General features: G+C 52.8%; 1 protein-coding gene across 6 annotated transcripts in view, besides 6 other annotated features; it reads left to right on the plus strand.

Annotated features, from left to right (window-relative positions):
• Positions 15,048–15,192: an enhancer, noted in NCBI's record as "145 bp 1:205012106 sequence used in MPRA reporter constructs". NCBI's record gives its function as "activates a minimal TATA-containing promoter with rs4951159 allelic activity by MPRAs in C283T melanocytes {active_cell/tissue: C283T}" and the evidence as "EXISTENCE:reporter gene assay evidence [ECO:0000049][PMID:36423637]".
• Positions 15,048–15,284: a biological region, named in NCBI's record as "melanoma risk locus-associated MPRA allelic enhancers 1:205012106 and 1:205012198".
• The window catches only part of CNTN2 (contactin 2), a 35,341-nt gene continuing 30,283 nt past the window's right edge, over positions 15,091–20,148 (plus strand). For 4 of the 6 annotated variants that reach the window (NR_144350.2, XM_017002199.3, XM_047429102.1 and 1 more), the window contains exon 1: positions 15,354–15,536. The gene's annotated coding sequence lies outside the window, so the exon portion shown is untranslated. Of the gene's footprint in view, positions 15,185–15,353; positions 15,537–20,148 lie in introns of those variants that run through there. The other 2 variants (XM_047429104.1, NM_001346083.2) reach the window with 1 other exon arrangement.
• Position 15,120: a transcriptional cis regulatory region, noted in NCBI's record as "rs4951159 or 1:205012106 MPRA-significant variant associated with a GWAS melanoma risk locus at 1q32.1". NCBI's record gives its function as "allelic transcriptional activity by MPRAs in C283T melanocytes {active_cell/tissue: C283T}" and the evidence as "EXISTENCE:reporter gene assay evidence [ECO:0000049][PMID:36423637]".
• Positions 15,140–15,284: an enhancer, noted in NCBI's record as "145 bp 1:205012198 sequence used in MPRA reporter constructs". NCBI's record gives its function as "activates a minimal TATA-containing promoter with rs2071533 allelic activity by MPRAs in C283T melanocytes and UACC903 melanoma cells {active_cell/tissue: C283T | UACC903}" and the evidence as "EXISTENCE:reporter gene assay evidence [ECO:0000049][PMID:36423637]".
• Position 15,212: a transcriptional cis regulatory region, noted in NCBI's record as "rs2071533 or 1:205012198 MPRA-significant variant associated with a GWAS melanoma risk locus at 1q32.1". NCBI's record gives its function as "allelic transcriptional activity by MPRAs in C283T melanocytes and UACC903 melanoma cells {active_cell/tissue: C283T | UACC903}" and the evidence as "EXISTENCE:reporter gene assay evidence [ECO:0000049][PMID:36423637]".
• Positions 19,351–19,855: an enhancer, noted in NCBI's record as "H3K4me1 hESC enhancer chr1:205016337-205016841 (GRCh37/hg19 assembly coordinates)". NCBI's record gives its function as "activates a minimal SCP1, AML or CMV promoter by ChIP-STARR-seq in primed H9 embryonic stem cells {active_cell/tissue: H9 hESC(primed)}" and the evidence as "EXISTENCE:reporter gene assay evidence [ECO:0000049][PMID:30033119]".

Consider the following 20,148-nt stretch of genomic DNA (forward strand, 5'->3'; position numbering starts at 1 on the left):
GCAGGGGACTGAGCTGTTTATACATTACTGTCAAAGAGGCAAGAAGGCACCAGATGGTATTTGGGTCACAACACATTTACATGTAAGTGACTTAAGAGGAGAAGGGGAACGAATATTGTTGAAACCAACTGCATGAGGCACAGTGATGTGCATTTCATGCCAATGCTCTCTTTTAGCCTGCACACCAGCCCTTTGACGTAGGTAGCTTTACATCCTGTTTTGCATGAGGAAATTGTGACTCCAAATAGCAGAATAATTTTTTTTTTTGAGACAGAGTCTCACTCTGTCACCCAGGCTGGAGTTCAGTGGCATGATCTCAGCTCACTCCAACCTCCGCCTTGCTGTTTCCAGCGATTCTCCTGCCTCAGCCTCCCAAGTAGCTGGGATTACAGGTGCCCACCACCATGCCCAGCTAATTTTTGTATTTTTAGTAGAGACGGGGTTTCACCATGTTGTCCAGGCTGGTCTCGAACTCCTGACCTCAGGTGATCTGCCCGTCTCAGCCTCCCAAAGTGCTGGGATTACAGGCGTGAGCCACTGCACCCGGCCCAAATAGCAGAATAATTTGCCCAAGGTAAATGACAAAGCCAGAACTAGCTGCCAGTTTGGTCTGACTAAAAAACCTCCACTTTCACTACTGTGATTGGGGTATGAATGGGCCTCCCTGTGAAGAATCAGCCCTGGTGCCTGTGCCTCAAAGGCATCATGCCAGAGCAGCCCCTGCCAACTCTCCAACATGTCCCCGCAACCGTTCGCCCCCCTCCTCCGCTCTGGGTAGCAGGACGTGCAGGCTCCTGAATGCCCCAGGAAACCCCAGGAGAAGGTTGTGGGTGCCATGCAGCTCGTGGTCACATGATGAGGGGGCAGCAAATTACAGGTGCTCAGCTTTCTGCAAATGTGCCCTAAGTACCAAGTAAGAGCCAGGACTCTGCAGACAGGTCAGGCACTAGCTGTGTGACCTCAGGCAACTGACTGAACCTCTCTTTGCCTGAGTTTCCTCATCTACAAAATAAGGGTTGTCATTGTAGCTACTTTGTAGGTTGTTGTAAGGATCAAATCAATTGAAATGTGAAAAGTGTCTGAGGCATAGGAAGCACTATATAATAATGTATTACATTTAAATAAATGAATGAATCACTTTACACTTTCCCCTCTGCTGTCTACCCAAATGTTCTTCCAGACTCGACACCCTCCTTCAAAAACCCTCCCAATCCTTCAAAGCAGGCTCAAATCCATTTCTCATAATCCCCTTGGCCCACGGGGCTAGCTCTCTCGAGAGCTTTTCTCAACCTTCTTGCTCCTCCAGCAGGGACTTGTCTGACATTGCAGAGACTTTCTCCTGTATCTGGCCAGGCTGCAAACCTGCGGAGGGCAGGGCCAGTACTTTATGCCTCTTGTACCTTTGTGGCCCCCAGTCCTGTGCCCCACACATAGTGTGTGGGGGTCCATAAATACATGTTGACTGATCCTTGGGACCCGCAGTCCCTGCAGGGTAACCAGATCCCATTTGTATTCAAGCTGTCTGCGTTACTGTATTTATTGGCCGGCTAGTGGTTTAGTCCATGGTGTATAGGGGTTAGGGATGAGGAGGGGGCAGGCAATATTTCTCTTCCTAAAAGCAAGTTTACCAGGTTCCAAGTGGCTGGATGTAAGGGCCAGTGATGAGTGTTGAGAGCTGGGGTTCACTCTACAGCCCCATTAATTAACTTTCCCCAAGTCCCCTAAGTGCTCTTGCCTCCCGTTAAAGGCCAGCAACCCACCGTCATTCATCAGAAAGGACAGTCCATCCTTCACTTCCCTCCCTCCTGCTCCTTCTAGCTCCAGCCTGGCTGTTAGGACACACTATGACCCTCAACTCACCCAACAACCCGTGTGGCAGAAGAGGATAAGGCTGGATGTCCAAAGGCCTGGGTTTGCCCCAAGAATGACCCCAGGACAGGACTCAGCCAATGTCCTTTTCACAAGCCCCACAGCACTGGGTCCCCATGGATGTGGATGCGGTTACCTCTCTGGGGTCATTTTACACCAAGATATAGGAGCCTGACTCCCAAGCTTAGAGCTTCTTCCGGGCCATAGGCATTCGGGGTTCCTTCCTTCTCAACACTGACAACACCCCTCCTCAGGGAAAGATGGTCTGGCGAAGACCGACATCAATGCAGTCAGCCCTAAGACCCAGAGGAGCTCACGTCTTCCATCCTTCTCCCTACCGAGTCCCAGCAACAATCTCCGTGAAAAGCAAAAAACACACAGAAAATCTTTCCTTCCAAATTACTGCATCAACCTCCTTCCCAAGTTTTCTGCAGGGCGTGCCCTGGTGTGGCTGGCATGGGTGAGGCCGCTGGCTGACTGCGGGGAACGTGCACAGGGCCCACCCAGGACCCCAGGAGACCCCCTAGTCCCCTCTCAATTATGTGCCTGTGGTTCAGACCCATGGAATGTCAGGGCTGGAGTAAGCCCAGGTCCAGTCCCCTTGTCTTACAGATTCCACACACCAAGTGCTAAATCCAAAACTGGCTCCCATACCGCACAGCAAATGTACCCCCCCACCTTCCACATGAGCTAATGCGTCCTCAGAGAAAGCAGACTCACATTTCAAATGACGGCCACCAGACCTCATCTGAAAGAGCTGAGGGCTTTTCCGGGAGGAAAAAATACACAAACTTAGAAATAGACTCATTCCAAAGCCAAATAGCAATCATCTGGGATTTTCGGCTGCCCCAGACCCTCCACAGCCCACGATCCTCCTATGAAAGCTGGCAGCTAGGGCTGTGGCCAGTTTGGGAAAGTTGAAGGCAGGCACAGGCAAGATGGTAAATCTCAGGCAGCTCATCCCATGCTAAGCTGAAGAATTTGTAGGTGTGACTTTGGTTCCCAGAAGCAGACTCCAGACCAGGGCCTCTACACCCCCTTTCTTCCCTCTCCCTAACCCCGACATGCACCTCCTTCCATTTACCATTCCCCAGCCCCTCCTCAGAGCCCTCAGACCACTCTCGCAGGTCCATCAGTGGCTTTTAAGTGAGTCCCCAGCTTTCATCCTATTAGTGAGCCGGGGAGTAATTACGACTTCATTAGCCAAATAGGTTCTTGGTTCAGAGACTCCCTCCTACAAAACAAAACACACACCCGCTCCCCTCCATCTGAAGTCTGTCCCCGGAGGCCTGCAGCTAACAATGCAGTGGCTTCGGGGAAAGCCAGCAGGAAAGGGGGAAGGAGAGAGGGGAGGCCGGCCATGGGGAGGAGGCCCCCCGCCCTCCTCCAGGGCGCATCTGTCAGCTGGCCCCATAGAGACCTGTGACAGGGAGAGGGATGACACTCCAGCAAATGAGGCCGTGACCCCTCCGAGCCGTCTGCTGTCCCTTGCCCTCTGGCCTTGCTCACCCCTCCAGTTATGGGCTTAACCCATGGCCAGTGCACTTCACAGATGGGCAGGCAGCCTCCTCAGCTGAAGGCTCTCTGGGCTAATGTCCAGGGCCTCCAGAGGGCAGGGTAGTCCTGGCTCCCCCGCCCCATCTCCCACCCTATACTTCAGCTGCTGCAGCTCCAGGAGCAAGGAAGCCATGGGTCTGCCAGAAAGGACAAAGCTGTGACCCCAACCTCCCTGGCCAGGGGAACTTTAGCCAGCCCGCGGCCACCAGACCAGGCAGGCAGGTCCTGGGAAAAATGCCACAACCCCCGGCCTCTTATCTGTCATCCCACACCTCAGCATTAGAAAGAGTTTTCTTTGGGTCTGTATGAGCTCTGCATTGCAATTAAAACCATCCACACTTGGGCAATCGCGTACCCTCCTTCTCTTTTCCTATTCTTTTAATGGATTTTAGGAGCATGGAGTCTAATCCTCCTGCCTCTGAGTGGGACCCAGCTAGCCTAGTCTATGCCAAATCTTCCTGAGTTTCTCTAGCCAAACAATGCTAATCACAACGTCCCGCCTCTCCGCCAGGTCAGGTAAGCATCCAGGATGAGGCCACACCCGCTCCCATCACTCTTTTTTTTTTCTGAGACGGAGTCTTACTCTGTCACCCAGGCTGGGGTGCAGTGGCACGATCTCAGCTCACTGCAAGCTCCGCCTCCCGGGTTCATGCCATTCTTCTGCCTCAGCGTCCCGAGTAGCTGGGACTACAGGCGCCCGCCACCACACCAGCTAATTTTTTGTATTATTTACTACAGACAGGGTTTCACCGTGTGAGCCAGGATGGTCTTGATCTCCTGACCTCATGATCTTCCCGCCTCAGCCTCCCAAAGTGCTGGGATTACAGGCGTGAGCCACCGTGCCCGGCCTCCATCACTCCCATTGCCCACTCTCCGCTAGGAGAAGAGGCAGGCTCCCTGCAGACCCTCTGGCATGTGCCTCTTTGTCCATGCAGCTTCCAAAGAGAACTGGCTGCTTCTTCTGGGGGCTTTGCAAGTAACAGCTGATGAATTCTCATTCCTGCTGAGGGCCCCTCTGCTTGGGTCCTCCACCGGCAAGATGCCATCTGCTGAGGCTGGACCCAGAGGCAGAGGGATAGATGAGATGACCTCCAGACAGCCTTGCCATTTACAAGACTCCAAGCTATGTACAGCCTTGGCCCTGGCTCTGGCTCTAACTTGACCCCATTCTGTCCCCAGGTCCAACGACTCAGCCTCCATCCTCCCTCCCCACCACCCCAATCTACAACCAGTCCAGAAGCCAGGCAAGAGGACCTCTGCTCCTTGCCCTTCAAGGAAAAGGAGTCCTCAGAGGCCAGCCCAGCTGTACACACTGCGCCCCTGCTTGTGTTCCCTGAAAGCAACCGTCCTTTTGTTAATTCTGCCATTTCCCAAAGTGCCAGGAGCATCTCATCTGACAGCCACAGCATCTGTTCTTCTCACTCTCCAGAAGGTTGGGTGGGAGCCGTGCCAGCTTTTCCCCAAGGCTCTCCCAGCCTCACGTTCCTTCTGCCTGAGTTGGACACCCTGCTCACCTGGTCCCCTGGGGGCACCTCCAGTTCCCTCTCTGCATCCCTGGCCCCTGGCACCTCTTCCTATGACCACGGTTGGCAGCCTCGATAGCCATCTCCCCTCCCGGGGTCAAGCTCACCTGGCCAAGCAGATGGGCACCTATCCTCTTCCTTAGGGAAATGCAGGGAAAGTGGCTGTTTTCCATTTGAGGCCTGCCCAGGGCCCCTAGCAGGTATAGGAGCCACAGGCTGCCAAGGAAGGGAGAAGACTCATGCTTGGTCCTTTCCAGGGCCCCCTCCCTCGGTACATACAGCCTTTGGAATGCTCCATTGATTCCAAAGCAGTGAAGTTCTGGCTAGTTCCCCAGCCCATAAGACCCACTGGGAGTCTGGCCTGGCCCTGCCCTAAGCTTTAGCACGGGGCTCCTTCGGGCCGGGAAATTCTTAGGTGGTGGGGGCTGACCTGTGCACTGTAGGATGCTTAGCAGCGTCCTCACCTCTACCCACTAGATGCCAACAACACACCTTCTACCCCACACACACTCCCACTGTGATAACTACAAATGCCGCCAGACCTTGCCAAATGGCCCCCTAGTTGACAACCACTGAGCTAAGGCAAAAAAGAAACCCAACACCTAAGTGTCAGTGACTGACATCCCCCTGGTTTCTGATTCCTAGGCTGCAGGTGACAGAGGCATGGCTTAAACCAGGGATCAGCAAACATTTTCTGTAGAAAGCCAGATAGTAAATATCTTCAGCTTTGTTGAATGAATATCTTCATACAGCCTCTGTTGCAACTACTCGACTGCCGATGTGGCATAAAAGCAGCCACAGACAATATATAAATGAATGAGCGTGGCTGTGTTCCAATTAATCTTTATTTATGAACACTGAAATTTCAATTTCATATGATTTTTATGTGTCGCGACATCTTCTGATTTTTTCAACCATTTAAAAATGTAAAATGCATTCTTAGCACACTCTATGCCGCTGGCTTACAGGAGCTCAGAGGGATCAAAACACCTGGGGCCCTGTTGACCGGCTCCTAGGAGATTAACAAAGCCAAGGGCAGGGTTTGAAGTTGTGAATGAAGTCCTGCGCCTCTAGGACAGGGAGGAAGATCATTCTTTGGCCCAGTAACTCCAGGTACTGTTTTTAGTGGGGAAACCCCACTGACCTGAGCAGGACCAGCCACGTAACTTGCAGTGAGTGCCCAATGCAAAATGAGAATACTAGGCCCCTTGTTTAAAAGTGATTGTAAATTCCAAGACAGCAGCAGAAAAGCATTAAACCAAGCATGGGGCCCTTCTGAGCACAGACTCTACACACAGGCTGGGGATCCAGAAAGGTGGCCCTGGACCTCAGTCTACCTCCCAGAGAGGTCTGCACCCACCTCACAGCCTCTGCCAGCTCAGGCTCATCCTCTGACCCTGGTGGACAGCTTCTCCCAGGGGCCCTGCATGATGACACCTGGCTGAGGCAGTGAATAAAGAGTTAAACCTGGCTCATGCTCCCTCTCCATGCTGTGTGCCCTGGTGCAATTCTGCGTCTGCTTTTTGGGGTAATTTGCTCAACTTAGGTTGGTACTGGTCCTGCCTCCAGGGCACCCAGGGTGGAGAGAGAAGTAGCCACTTGTGCCCCAACACAATTGGTTGTTTATTTGCCTGGTGAGGCTTGGGAATGAGAAAACATTTTAACTGTGTCTTGAAGGAAGACTCTGAGTTTACCAGGTAGACCAGGTGTTTGTGGTATGAGCTGGAGGAGGCAGGGAAGAGATGGTGCCAGGAAGAAGCAACAGCTTGTGCAAAGGTGGCAGCATGGTAGATTTGAAAGGGAGTTGGTTAGCATGCCTGGAGTTGAGGGTGCAAGGAAGGGGTGAGGCTGTATCCCAGCACTTGGTGTAATGCCTGATACAAGAGGTACTTGGCATTTACTTGTTAAATGGATGTATGTAGGTATAGGTGAATGGATGGATGAATACAATATTTTCTAACAATTTCTGGTTATTGTTTATTGAACACCTGTCTACCCCCATTGTGAACCCCCAGAGAGGAATAGAATGACCCACTCATCAATTCATTTAACAAATATATATTAGTGGGTGGAGTACAGTGGCTCACGCCTATAATCCCAGCACTTTGGGAGGCTGAGGTGCGTGGATCGCTTGAGCACAGGAGTTCGAGACCAGCCTGGGCAACATGGTGAAACCCTGTCTTTACAAAAAACAAAAATAATCAGCCAGGTATGGCAGTGCATGCCTATAGTCCCAGATACTTGGGAGGCTGAGGTAGGAGGATGGCTTGAGCCCAGGGGGCAGAGGTTGCAGTGAGCTGAGATCAAGCCACTGCACTCCAGCCTGGGCAACACAGCCAGACCCTGTCTCAAAACACAAACCAAAAAACCCCAAATATATATTGGGCCTTTGCCACTATGCTCAGGGTACAAAGATACAAGATGCAGTGGTGGAGACACCCCGTCCACATAGAGATTAGTAGGCAGGATGCCTAGAAAGGGATAAGGGCACTGCAGAGGGTCACCTACCACCTACAGGGAGAGCCCAGAGCGGGCCTGGAGAGAGAGACTGCTGGCCTACATCTTGAGAGCCAGGGGAATTTAACCAGGTATACATAAGAGAGAAAAGTGCTATTACAAGCACGGAACAGCACAAAGAGAGTGAAATGAGAGAGTCCAACCCCTTCCAGAAATGGCAAGTGGGTCAATCAGGCTGAAGTAAGTCAGGAGAAGGCAAGAGAAGAAGGTAGACTGAGGAAGGATCAGACTACACTATCCCAATGAGCCCTGTGTGGCGTGGGAAGGAGCCTGGAATCTTACCTGGAGGCAAGAGATGCTGGAGAATTTTTAGCAGGAGAGTAACTGGATCTGATTTGCATCTTTGGTAGCTCATTCTGACTGTGGATCTGGAGAGTGAATGGGAGGGGTGAGACTGGAAGGCCTGGTGAGGATGTAACAATGCAGGTGAAAACTAGGGAGGGCCAGAGCTAAGACTGGGAGGAAGGCTGGGAAGGCAGAGGATACATAGAAGAGGCCTTTCGGGGGCAACAGAGTCAGCAGGCCTGAGTGGTTGGCAGGACTTGGGGGTGGGGTTGAGGAGAGAGAGGAGCCACAGAAGATGGAACAGTTTGGAGGGTGCCATTCATGGAGGCAGGTGTCTCCCACAAAATAATATGTTAAAACCTAAACCCTCAATGTGATACCATTAGGAGGCACAGCCTTTAGCAGGTAATTAGGTCATGAGGGTGGAGCTCCTATGAATGGGATCAGTGCCCTTATAAGAAGAGACAAGAGAGCTTGCTCTGTTGCTCTCTGCCATGTGATGATCCAATGAGAAGATGGCCATCTGCACACCAGGAAGGGAGCCCTCACCAGACACTGTCTGCTGATGCCTTGATCCTGGACTTTTCAGCCTCCAGAACTGTGAGCAATACAATTCCATTGTTTCAGCCACCCAGTCTGTGGTATTCTGTTAGCAGCCCAAGTTACTAATACAGCAAGGAACCCAGGAGGAGAAGCAGATAGAGAGGGTGAAAGTATGTATCAATCAGGGTTTATGATTGGGTTTATGAAGTTTATTTCAAGAAATTGACTTACAATTTGGGGGTTGGCAAGTCGGTTTTCTGTAGGGCAAGCCAGCAGCCTGGAAACTCTCAGGCATGAACTGATGCTGCAGGCTGGGGGCAGAACTGCTTACGTCTCAGGGAAACCTCTGTGCTCCTTAGGCCTTGCAACTGATTGGATGAAGACTATCCCCATTATCGAGAATAATCTTACTTAAAGCCAACTGACTGAAGATGTTAACCATGTCTACAAAATGCCTTCACAGCAATACCTAGATTCATGTTTGATTAAATGACTGTGTACTATAGCCTTGCCATGTTGACCCATAAAACTGACCATCACAGGTGGGGGTTTGAGTATCCTGTGGTGACATGAGAGGCCCATGGGCATCCAAGTGAAGACCTGTGGCTGGCCAGCACAGGTCTGAGCTCCGTGTCGAAGGACCCTTCCAGGTCTATGTCACCTCATCTACGACCTGCTGCAATGCCTGACTCGTCAGCCTTCCGATCTCCAGGTAGGCGTCTGTTCTGTGCACTCCACCCTCCCTGCCGCCCCATAGTAGACTCTTCAAAACACAAGTCTCAGCCTTGCAGGTGTTGCTTACATCCTCAGATCCTTCCAACTGTTCCCCCGTTGCCCTTGATAAAGGCCCCAAGGGCTTATAATGCTCATCGTGGACTGGCCACAGCCTACGCCTCCAGCCTCATCCCTTCCTTGCACCCTCAACTCCAGGCATGCTAACCAACTCCCTTTCAAATCTGCCATGCTGTCACCTTTGCACAAGCTGTTGCTTCTTCCTGGCACCATCTCTTCCCTGCCTCCTCCAGCTCGTACCACAAACACCTGGTCTACCTGGTAAACTCAGAGTCTTCCTTCAAGACACAGTTAAAATGTTTTCTCATTCCCAAGCCTCACCAGGCAAAGGCAGATGCCCCTCCATGATACTTCGTGCCAACTTGGGTTATAGCATTTGCAGGATTGGATTCTGATTATTTGTACACGTCATTCCCACCATTAAACTGTGAGCTCCTCATGAGCACTCACCGTGCCTTATTCTCCTCTGTATCCCAGCACTTGGTGCAATACCTGATACAAGAGGTACTTGGCATTTGCTTGTTAAATGAATGTATGTAGGTATAGGTGAATGGATGAATGAATACCATATTTTCTAACAATTTCTGGTTATTGTTTATTGAACACATCTTTTGTGCCAAACACTGTGCTAGAAGCTTTCAGTCCTGAATCAGTCTAGGTTCTCAGTTGCAGGCAGCATAAATAGACTTTGGCCATTGTAAACAGAAATGGAATTCACCAGAAGGCTATCAAGTCGATCACAGAATCAATGGAAAGACTAAAGAAGTCGACTGAGAAATGGGCAGGAGCCAACACAGGCCAGCCAGCAGAGACAGGCTGAGGTCACATCTGGGCAACGTCCAGCCAGGACGCCACCGCTGGCATCACCCACACTGGACACTCCCTTCACTGATGCCAGAACCTTGAAATGCCCGCTGCCTCCTCCACTGTCCAACATGTATGTGTACCTCGCCTCGGCTGATCCACGCAGCTCTCTGAAGCAGAGCCTCTCCTCCACTTTACAGATGATGAAATTGAGTCTTAGAAGCCTATGGTCACACAGCCAATCAATAAGGTGGGTGGAATTGGAATCAAGATCTGTCTGACTCCAAGGCCTTCCAACCACTCTGCACTGTCTCCTTCCCGGGGGCACCACTGACATTGTTCTTCATGAAGGAGCTCCCTGTGTAACGCTACACAGCAGCCCCGAGATTCCACATTGACGTGGGCTGATTGAAACTGCTTCCAAGAGGTTGTACATCAGACACCCAGAGATCCTGGAAAACAGGGGTCTGGCCTAAGGCTCAGGGAGGCCTGCAGAATCTAGTAAAGGACTCCAATGTCCCCACCTGCCCCTTCCAGCTCCCATGTTCCATGGCTGCCTATTAGCCACCCCGGGCAGGCTTAGTAAAGGGCAGACAGAGCAAAAGGTTATCGACTCTTCAGCCCAGCCCACTTCCAGGGTCACAGCTGCCCCCAAGACTGTTCTGTCATATCCTCTGGATGGCATGGCTTTTACCGGGACCAAAAGATGTCCCCACCAGGAACGTCCTCCTTAAACCCAGATGACCTGGGGCAGTCAAGGACAGAGCTCCAGGCAGGGAACCCACGCACCCAGTCCTAGCCCAGCCCCACCTCCACTGCTCTGTGACCTTGGCCCAATCATTTCACCTTTCTGGCTTTGCTTTCTTTGTGACTCAATCCCTCTCTACTGTCCTGCCCTCCTGCCCTCCCACCTTCCACACCAGCCAAATTGTTTCATAAAAAAAGAACTCAGGGTTCTTTGAGCTCTTTGGAGAGACCACATAAATGCAGGGCATTATTAGCATCATTACTATTAAATATTAATAATGACATTAGCATCATCTATTATAAGCCTGAAAAAGGAGCTGCAAGAGCCCTGGGTTGAAATGGCAAAGAGAATAATTAGGCCCCTCCAGGCCACAGACCCCTCTGGGCCCTCACATGAAATTAGGAAGGCAAATGCAGACAGGGCATTGAGATCTTCCTTCCAGCACCCCTGCTAGGTCAACTTGGCTTCTCCAGGCATTACACAAATCATGGCCTTCCCAGGCCCCACATCTTGGCTCCTGCCACACCACATGCCCCCATGCCAGAAACACATTCCCCACCTCCTCTCTGTCCATCCAGGCTCAATTCAAGATGCACCCACCCACCCCCACTGAAAGCTTCACCCACATCCTACCTCCCTCTCTCCTCATCCTCTGAATGGTTACTATAGCTACTCTCCTTCATTCATTCACCCAGTCAACAAATATTTATTGAGTCTCCACCATGCACCAGGCACTGTGCTAAACAGGAGGGTGGGGGACTGGGAGAATACGGACTGATGAGATAATCCCTACCTTTTGGACTGCATAGCTGAGGGAATGGCCATCAGTATTTGATATGGCACTTTGCAATTCAAAGTGCTTTTAAAAACCATTATGTTTAATTCACATATCCTCACTACCATCCTAGATAGGAGTAGGATCATTCCTATTTTACTGGTGAAGAAATGGATTATCTGGGCGATTAAGTGTCATTCTGTTACTTGCCCAGAGTCATCCAGGTAGGAGTGACAGAGCTGGGACAGAGTCCAGTTCTCTTGACTACAAATCCAGAGCCACCCCAACCACTTGCAGCCCTTACTGCTCTGCCTCATATCCTTGTTTTACAGATGAGGGAGGCTAAATCCCAAAAGGGAAATACTGACATTTATTGAGCACCTGCTGTGCTAGCTACTTCACGTGTAACTCAACACTCACATCAACTCAGTGAGGTATGTGTCTTCATCCCCATATTCTGGGTGAAGAGGTATGTGGCTTGCCCATGGCCTCACATCTCCTCAGTAGCAGGACTGGGTGTCAAACGGGTCTGTCTGCAGAGCTTTTCCTTATGGCCATATCAGTTTTCCCCAGAGCTGTGGATGGACAGTCCTGTTACCACTGTCACACTGCTTCCAAAAAGGTCACTGGCACTTTGAAGACCGCATCCCCTGGCTCTTGGATCCCTACATTCCAGGCAGAGGAGCTGCTCCATAAATACATGGCCTCCTGGGAAAAGGGTCTGGGCAAAGATGCTGGTGGCGGGAGAGGCCAGGAAAGGAGAGGTGAGGCGGGGGAGTGGTGAGGAAAGAGACAGCAAAGCTGCAGCATCCTGGGGCCATGGCAGGGTCTCATCTCCTCCCCACTTGTCCCCAGGGATGGGGCCTAGAGGTCCCTTCTTGATCGGTTAGAGACCCACTGGATTCCATTGCTATCAATCTTGTGTGGCTACAGTAGGAAGAAGCAGATGGTCTGGGCAGGGTTGGGTGGCCCTCAAAATGCTTTCTGATCCCCACCCACCACCACCAAGGGAGCACCACATGTTTGCGGACAAATTTATAAGCCATTTGACTAGCCACCTGATTATCTTCACTGGCCCTTTCTTGCCCTGTTTGAAAGTCTGTGGGGACTCAACTTTGAGATGTGGAGTCCCAGCTCTGGACAACATGGAGTCATATTGATCAGCCACAGAAAGGAGAGGTGGCCCTTATGGTCAGCTGCACTGAAGATTGTGGGCTCTGGATGTCACCAAAGAAGAAGAAACTGTTCTGCCCCCTATTTTGCCCACCTCAAAAGAACAGACAGTAGGTAGCTGGAGTCCATGGCACGGTGGCTAAGCCAGGATGCTGGAGGCCGATCCCAGGCCTCACTCTGTCATCTAGGCTGGAGTGCAGTGGCACGATCACAGCTCACTGCAGGCTTAACCTCCCAGGCTCAGGTGATCTTTCTACCTCAGCCTCCTAGGTAGCTGGGACTACAGGTGTGCACTGCCACACTGGCTAATTTTTGTGTGTTTTTTGTTGAGACGGGGTTTCGCCACGTTGCCCAGGGTTCCACTTGTTTACTATTTCTTTTGAGCAAGTTCCTTACTCTTACTGAGCAACATCTGAAAAGTGAGGATAATAACAACATGGACCTCTTGCGCAAGTAATTCAGGTAAAGCATTTAGCACAGCTCCCGGCATGTGGGAGGCATTCAAAACAGATATTATTTCTGTTATTATCAAGCTAATGGGCCCCACAAGCAAAACTCAGCCTGCACCCCCAAATGCCCACCCCACTCTCTCCTCAGGAACAGGAGCATCTCAGAGACTGGGAGTGCAGATCCCCCTAATCTCCCCAAACTCATTCATACTAGACTTCACTGAGAGCTTCAGACAAGTGAGAAGATGAGACTTTGGGAACTGTCTCCCCATCCAAGTCTAGGCTTGGCAAATGTTCTTGTTTTCACTTATTGTGTCTGCCAGAGTCCACATGGAGCATGCTGGTTGCATTGAGATCTGAGAGTCTTTAAGACCCAAGTCACCTGTGCTAACGACCCTCCCCAGAGACCCAGCTCCCACCACAGGGCAGCAGCTGTCCTAAAATAGAGTCACAAAGACAGCTGTCTCCGTCTAAAGCAATCCTTGCAAGCATTTCCAGACTGTTGGTTCCTGGGCCAGCCTATTTCCTGGCCCGTCAGCCCCCTGCAGCAGACATAGCATCCTTTTCTTGGCAAGGACTTGTTCCTGCCGTTTTCTGCTAGGAGAGAACTTGCAGAGCCTCTCTTTGGAGCCCAGGCTGACTTGAATGGTGCCAAAGAGCAAGGTTCACCTCAGGAGCTCAGAGCCAATGTGCCAGCCCTCAGACATACAGATAGGCAAGGACAGTGTGGGCAGGGGAAGGAAGGGAAAGATATCCTGGCAAGGGGTTGATGTGTCTGTCTATATAACAGCATTCAACATTATTTAAGAAACATCATTAGCAAAATCCAAGTCCTCCCCATCAGGAACAAAGAAGACTATCTCTCAAGTTGGGCAAGCCCTTTGGAGGGGCTCAGAAGGAAAGGAGGGGAGCGCATGTGGGACCTGGGCAGACATTCCAGCCTTGGAGGCTGAGCAGCAGAACCTCCCCGACTCCTTCTCCTTTTCCAGACCCTCTCATTCTGGCCCAGGTCCCCAGGACCTCCTCCACTCAGGGAGACATGGAGCCATGATCCAGGCTTGACAGGTATAGCCATTTAAAACTGGGAGGCTGGCCTGGCCCTGCCAGCTGTTGCAGCATCTGGACTGCTCACCGGTCTTGCCTGTGCAAGCTGGACAGCAGGCAGATCAGAGGGGGGTGAGACAACAGTGACAGCCTGACAGGGCCGACTGGTGCCGCAGATGGCTGGTCCCTCCGCCTCCGGGCCACAGCCTTCCTGGGCACTCCCCCACGTGACCGGAGCAGGGCAGGAGAAAGGCATCGCTGACAAGGGTGAGCACTTAGAATCTCAGAGCTGGCAGGACTGTGTCCATCTTTAATCCCTTCAGGTACCAGCGAGGCTCAGAGAGGGCAGGGCACCTAGCCAAGCACACACAGCCAGTCGGTTGTGGAGCCCAGAGTATGCTTCAGACACCCAGACCCCTAATCCAGGGAGCTTTTCATGACATCACACTGCTGGTTGCTTAAAAATGGGATTGGATCCAAACGTACTGATGCGTAAAAGTGTCCAAGATCAGTTACACAGTTAAAAGTCTTTGGCCAATCCTACTGTTTTATGTAATCACATTTGTGTGAAATAACCCTACTAACCCATGTAATTGTATACACGAAAATAATAAACCTGGGGGCATGTACTTAGATTTATTAAGAGTAGTGGTTGAGGGACTTTCACTATGTATTTTTAAATGTCCTCTAATATTTAGATATTTTGACAAAAAGCTCAAACTACTTTTGAACAAGGGAAACAATAAAGAGGAACATGGGGTGGACCGGGCAACAGAGACAGCCCCTCCCTGCCACTTGCCCCACACAGCAAGCTGGGATTTCTGATTTGGATCTCTTCCTCGGATAGGGGATTTCTGGGGAAACCAGGAGTTTTGGCTCCATGGGTCTCCAGGGTTTGAGGAGTAAGAGCCACTTTCTTTTCCCTCTTCACCCCGCCCCTCTCCTGCCCCTTCAGCCCTGGGCAGGGGGACTAGAAGTGGGGCTGGGCAGGATCGGGAGGGCAGGCGGGCCAGACAGCGCCCCGCGGCCTGTCCATGAGCGGCCCATGCATTATGGAAGACGCGCGCTGGGCTCGCTCCCTGGTCCTTAAATGACAGCAAATGAGGTAAAGCCAGGAGGGTGGGGACGGAAGTGGGGTGGGAGGGGGGCAGAAGGAAGCCATCTCCAGGGCCCCCGAGCGTTGGCTGAGGACCAGAGCCAGCCAGTGAGCGGAGCCTGGGAGAGGGAGGAGCACATCTTGATGCAGAGATGCTGCAGTGGCTCCGGGCGCGCTCACACACACGCGCCCTCACCCGCCACCGCCGCCGCGGCCGCCGCCGCACCCGGACAGCGAGCGGCTGAGGCCGCCAGGGCCCAAAGGACAGCGGCCCAGACAGGGGCTGGCGGCCCGGCCGGCCCCGGCTCACCGACTCGGGCAGCATCCACCTGCCCCAGCCAACACCCTTCTCTCGCCCCAGGTAGGTGCCAACCGCTTTTGTCTCCTCCAACCCAGGGACTTCCCTGCGTGCTGTTATGGGCCGGGGCTCCCGGCTCAGTTCCTGTAAATATCCCCCTTGTAACTTGGGAGGGAACAGGGACAGGAACACTGGCAGGCTGGGGCCGTTCTGACTTCTCCCCTCAGCCCCAGGGTGGGTGCTGGGGCTCCCCTCCGCCCTGTCTACGTGGGCGGCATCCCGCAGGGCTCTCTCAGGCCGAGCCTGGCCGAAAAGCTGGACCCCAGGAGTGTGTCCAGGAATTCCAGTTGGCCAGCGGGCAGTGGCAGCTGCCTGTGGAGAGGGCAGTTTCTCCTGGGCCGGCCCTGGGCACCCGGTCCAGGACAGGACCAGTCCATACAGCCAGGCCCTGGGCCCTGGCCTGCCCCAGAAGTCCCTGCATGGAATTGAGCCGGAGTCCCCAGTTTTGAGGTCACCCAGGGTCTACCTCTGCAGGGTGACCTCTTTGCAAAGTCTTGCTTCAGCTGGATGGAGAGGGGGGCTGTGGAAGAGAGAGGGGAGAGTGGAGCACAAGTTTGGGCAAGGGCCTGTCCAGGAACTGGGACTCGGGGAGGAGAGTCCTGAGGCCAGTCACATCCCAAAGGGCGAGAGGCTGGGGCTACCGGGCTGAAATTCCTTTCCTTCCCTTCCCCCTCCCAACCTTAGCTTCTCCTCAAATCCCTCCCCCCCATCCTCACTGGTGGGAGGGAAGAATTTGCACAAAGTTTGGCTTTCCAGTAAGGAAAGGGGCTGGGGCCAGAATGGTATGGGGAAGGGAAGGGGCAGAGCTGGGGAGTTCTGGAAAGAGAGGGCAATCCTTCTGCCCAGCACCGTGGGGCTTACATAATGGGCTGGAGGTGGGGGGCAGCCCCAGCCAGTGAGTGTCCAGAGCTGAATCCTGTCACCTTCTCCAAGAGGGTCTCTCAGGTCTGGGAAGCAGCGGGGCATGGAGAAGGCAGTGCCTATGGAAGGGGAGAATCCTGCTGCTACTTGGGGATGGAGACGGGCACCCTCTAGCCCCAGACCCCTGGGGGTTGAGCCTGTGTCCTGGGGGGGGGGGTCCAGTGAGGCCAGGAGGGAGTGGGGTTGTGCATGCCATGGCCCCAGCCCTGGAGAAAGGTGGGTTTCAGCATCTTTTCCCTCTGCTCAGAAGGAGCTGGGAGGAGGAACAGCCCAAGAAACCCAGTGCACAGGTGATGTTCTGGTCTCGTCTGGGCAACAGTTTCGGCCTCCTCTCCCAACCGTCTGGCCAAAGACGCCTCAGCTCACTTAGCCTCCGAGTCTCTCTACCTCCTGGTCCCACTCAGAGGGGCCGGATGAGCCACTGGAGATCGAGTGCAGCAAAAGGTGGGCCACCTGTGGGAGAGGCTGCTGTGATCGCACCTGGACAGGGAGATGGCCTGGAGGTCACAACAGGTGCCCTCACTCCTGGCCTTGGGAGAAGGGAGCTCTCCCCTTAAAGACAGCAGCATCCAAGCCCCTCCCCAGGGTGCCCACCAGTTAACCCCTTTCTAGCCAAGCTGCAGAACCATGGACAGGGCTTTTGCCACAAGGTCAGAGTCCTTCCTAATCTCCCGTGGAAGTCCTCAGCGAATAAGAGGGAGGCAGGAGGTGAGACAGACAGGAAAGGGCCCCTGACCTGATGATGTCAAAGTCACCCAAGGTCCACCTGCCTCACAGGTGCAGAGACCACTGTGCTCACACCATGAGCGGTGAGGGAAGCAGAGGCACACTCCTTATGCAGATGAGTGCCTCAGACTCCAGGAGTCTGCTCTCATTCCCGGCTCTTTCTCTCTTACTCTCCTCCCTTCCTCTACTCCTTCTTTCCTCGCACTCCCTTCTCTCATCGCGTGTACTCCACCGGCTTCAGCCCTCAGCCTCCCGCCGCCACCATTTCCCCTGCCAGATTTCACTCCTTATGCAACTCCATTCCAGCACCTTCTCTGCCAGCAGTTGTTCAAATAGAGACACATGTGGGATGGGCCTCCGAGGAATTGTGCTTAACGGGGTGATTGCACATCTCGTCTCTGGCTGACCAAACTTACTCCTTAGGAGCATGTACATAGACAGGTGTACCCCAAGGCATCCTTTCTGCCTCTAAAGTCACCAGGGAAGCAACGCATTTGGGGTGGTTTGGAGGATGCATGGTGCCCTCTTCAGAAACCTCCTTGAGCCAAACGTTGGTGAGAAAGCGTATTTCAAAGACAATCTCTAAGCCTGAGTGTGGGTGGTATTTGTATTTTTGGAGGGATTCCTAGGGCAGAACCAGGGGGTTGGAGAAGAGGTGATTGATATGCAGGGGAGGAAGAACCAGAGCAAAGAATATGCCAGGGAAGCCAGAGGGACTTAAGTTAGACTGCAGGAGACACTTCCTGGCTAGAAGAGTGAGCCATGAGGAGGTGGGGCAGTCTCCTTTCAGATGACTCTAAGGATGGTGTGGAGAACTGGGGTCTGGTCCAAGGTTAGAGAGTCCTGCCTAGAGGCAAAGGTTGGGCTGGCTGACCCTGTAAATTTCTTCCAACTTCTAGTAATCCTCTTTCAAATGGTAAAAGGTGGATGTGACTCAGGAATCCATAAGAAGGCAGACATCCTTTTCATCCCCTCATGCATGCTGGCCACCCCCTCATCCTTCAGGACTACAACCCCAATCTAAACAAACCACCCAGAGGCTGTTGCTAACCTGGAACATTTATGGGAGTTTCTGTGGGCTCCGTATCCTGACGGTAACCATCCTAGAGTAAGTCCTTTCTTAGTTTGATGATTCCTTGCTACAAGATTAGCCCATGTTTCTTTGTTTACCAAAGAGAATGCAAACAAAAGCAAGGAGTGTGATATTCTCATCCAAAACCTGAACACCTCCCATCCCAGGACACACTCAGGCCCAAACGCATCTCAGTGTCCTTTTTACCTAATGAGACATTCAGTTCACTACGTAGGTGGGGAAGTCAACCCCAGCCCCTCACACACACCCATCTAGTCAAACCTGCTGGGCTTCCTCCAGCCTAAGCCCACATCTTCTCAGTGCCTGCCACCCTGAACACCCTGACCAAGGGGTTCTCCCACCCTGTGCCTGGCTGGAGGGCAGCCTTCCTGCAGTGCTGCCCAAGAGGTGAAGTTAATCTGGACCCCAAATCCAAAGGAAACTAGCTTGAGAGGAGGAGCAGGTTGGACCTCACCCCCACCAGGCTTAAGCTCTGAGCCACCCTGGAGGAAGCTGTCTAGGAACTGGGGGGAGCCTCCTTGCAGCAGAGTTGGGGGACAAGCAGAAATTGCTCTGCTAATGCACGAGGAAATTTTCTTCCTGATTTGCTTTTTCAGAAACAAGTTGAAACCATTGTTCTTACGCCTGGCATCTCAAAAAGGGATCCTTCTAAAGCCCTCACTCACTGCCTCACACCACACACAGAGCAGGGCAGGCAAGTAGGAAAACCTAAGGTCTGGGGGTGGCTGGCTTCTGATCCTGAGCTTCCCAGGAGGATGGAAGCCTCTCTTCTTCTGTCCACTCCCTACTTTAAAGGGTCTCTCTGTTAGAGTAGGTCTCTCTTGCAGGGGCAAAGACTCTAGGCTCAGATCAAGGGCCAGACTCCCCCCTGCCCAATGCTAGAAGATCAAACAAATCCATGAGCCTGGGAGCCACAGCTCTCCCCAGAGGGCACGTCAGCACCAGGGCTGGGCCTCGGGGAAGCAGCTGCAATCACAAAGAGCCTGCAGAGAGAGCTGAGCAGCTCACAGAGGGGACTAAGGAAGGACGGGGCTGCACGACACCCCTGGTCCCCATTGGGGCTGAGGAGGTCCCTATGTCCCCATTTCTGCCCTAAGGATGTCTCCAGCTCAGGGTACCACAGAGACCCCTCAGTCACAATCCTTCACCCCACCCCTGCCAGCTGCAGCCTGGCCTGGCCCGCTGAGATCCTAGCAGCCCTCACCCACGCCACCACAGAGCCCTGTACTGACCAGAGGGGCATGGGGATGGTTCAGACCTTCCTGGAGGATGATGGTGCTGTCCCAGGAGGCAATTCTTGTCTTAGGCAAAGGAAAAGGTACTGATCTTAGATCCCATCAGGCAGGAGGTGAGGGCTGTTGAGAAGGAGTACCTGCTTGGGAGTGCCTGTCCTGGCCGCGTGACCCCCTGAGCACATTGTACCAGGTATAACTCTGGCATGGGGGCTGTGTCCTTGTGCCCTAGTCTGGGGTGCTGTGCTAGTGCTTACCTATGACCATTGCACCTTTGAGGCGTAAGAGGAGGGAGGCACCTGCCCAGGAGATTGTGGGTTTGTCAGTCTCCTAAATACATATGAGTGCCGCCTGGACGTTGTGACTGTATAGAAGTAAGCCAGACAGGCACAGTGGCTGCGGACACACGGCTGTGAGATTTCTCAGTTCTAAGATCTGATCTTTCCTGAGCACTCACTATGAGCCTGTGATGGTGCTGACCTCACAGCAGCCCCATGGGGCGGGTCCTGCCCTTCTCATCCCATTCTTGCAGATGGGAGAGTGAGGCTGGGAGAGGTTAAGTAACGACTGTGATAACCAGGTTATACTAGTTAGTTTTATTAGGGTTATACTAGCTAGACAGCAGCAGGCAGGTTGACTCAAT

Source organism: Homo sapiens, chromosome 1 (assembly GCF_000001405.40).
Source record: "Homo sapiens chromosome 1, GRCh38.p14 Primary Assembly".
In the NCBI taxonomy this organism is placed as follows: Eukaryota; Metazoa; Chordata; class Mammalia; order Primates; family Hominidae; genus Homo; species Homo sapiens.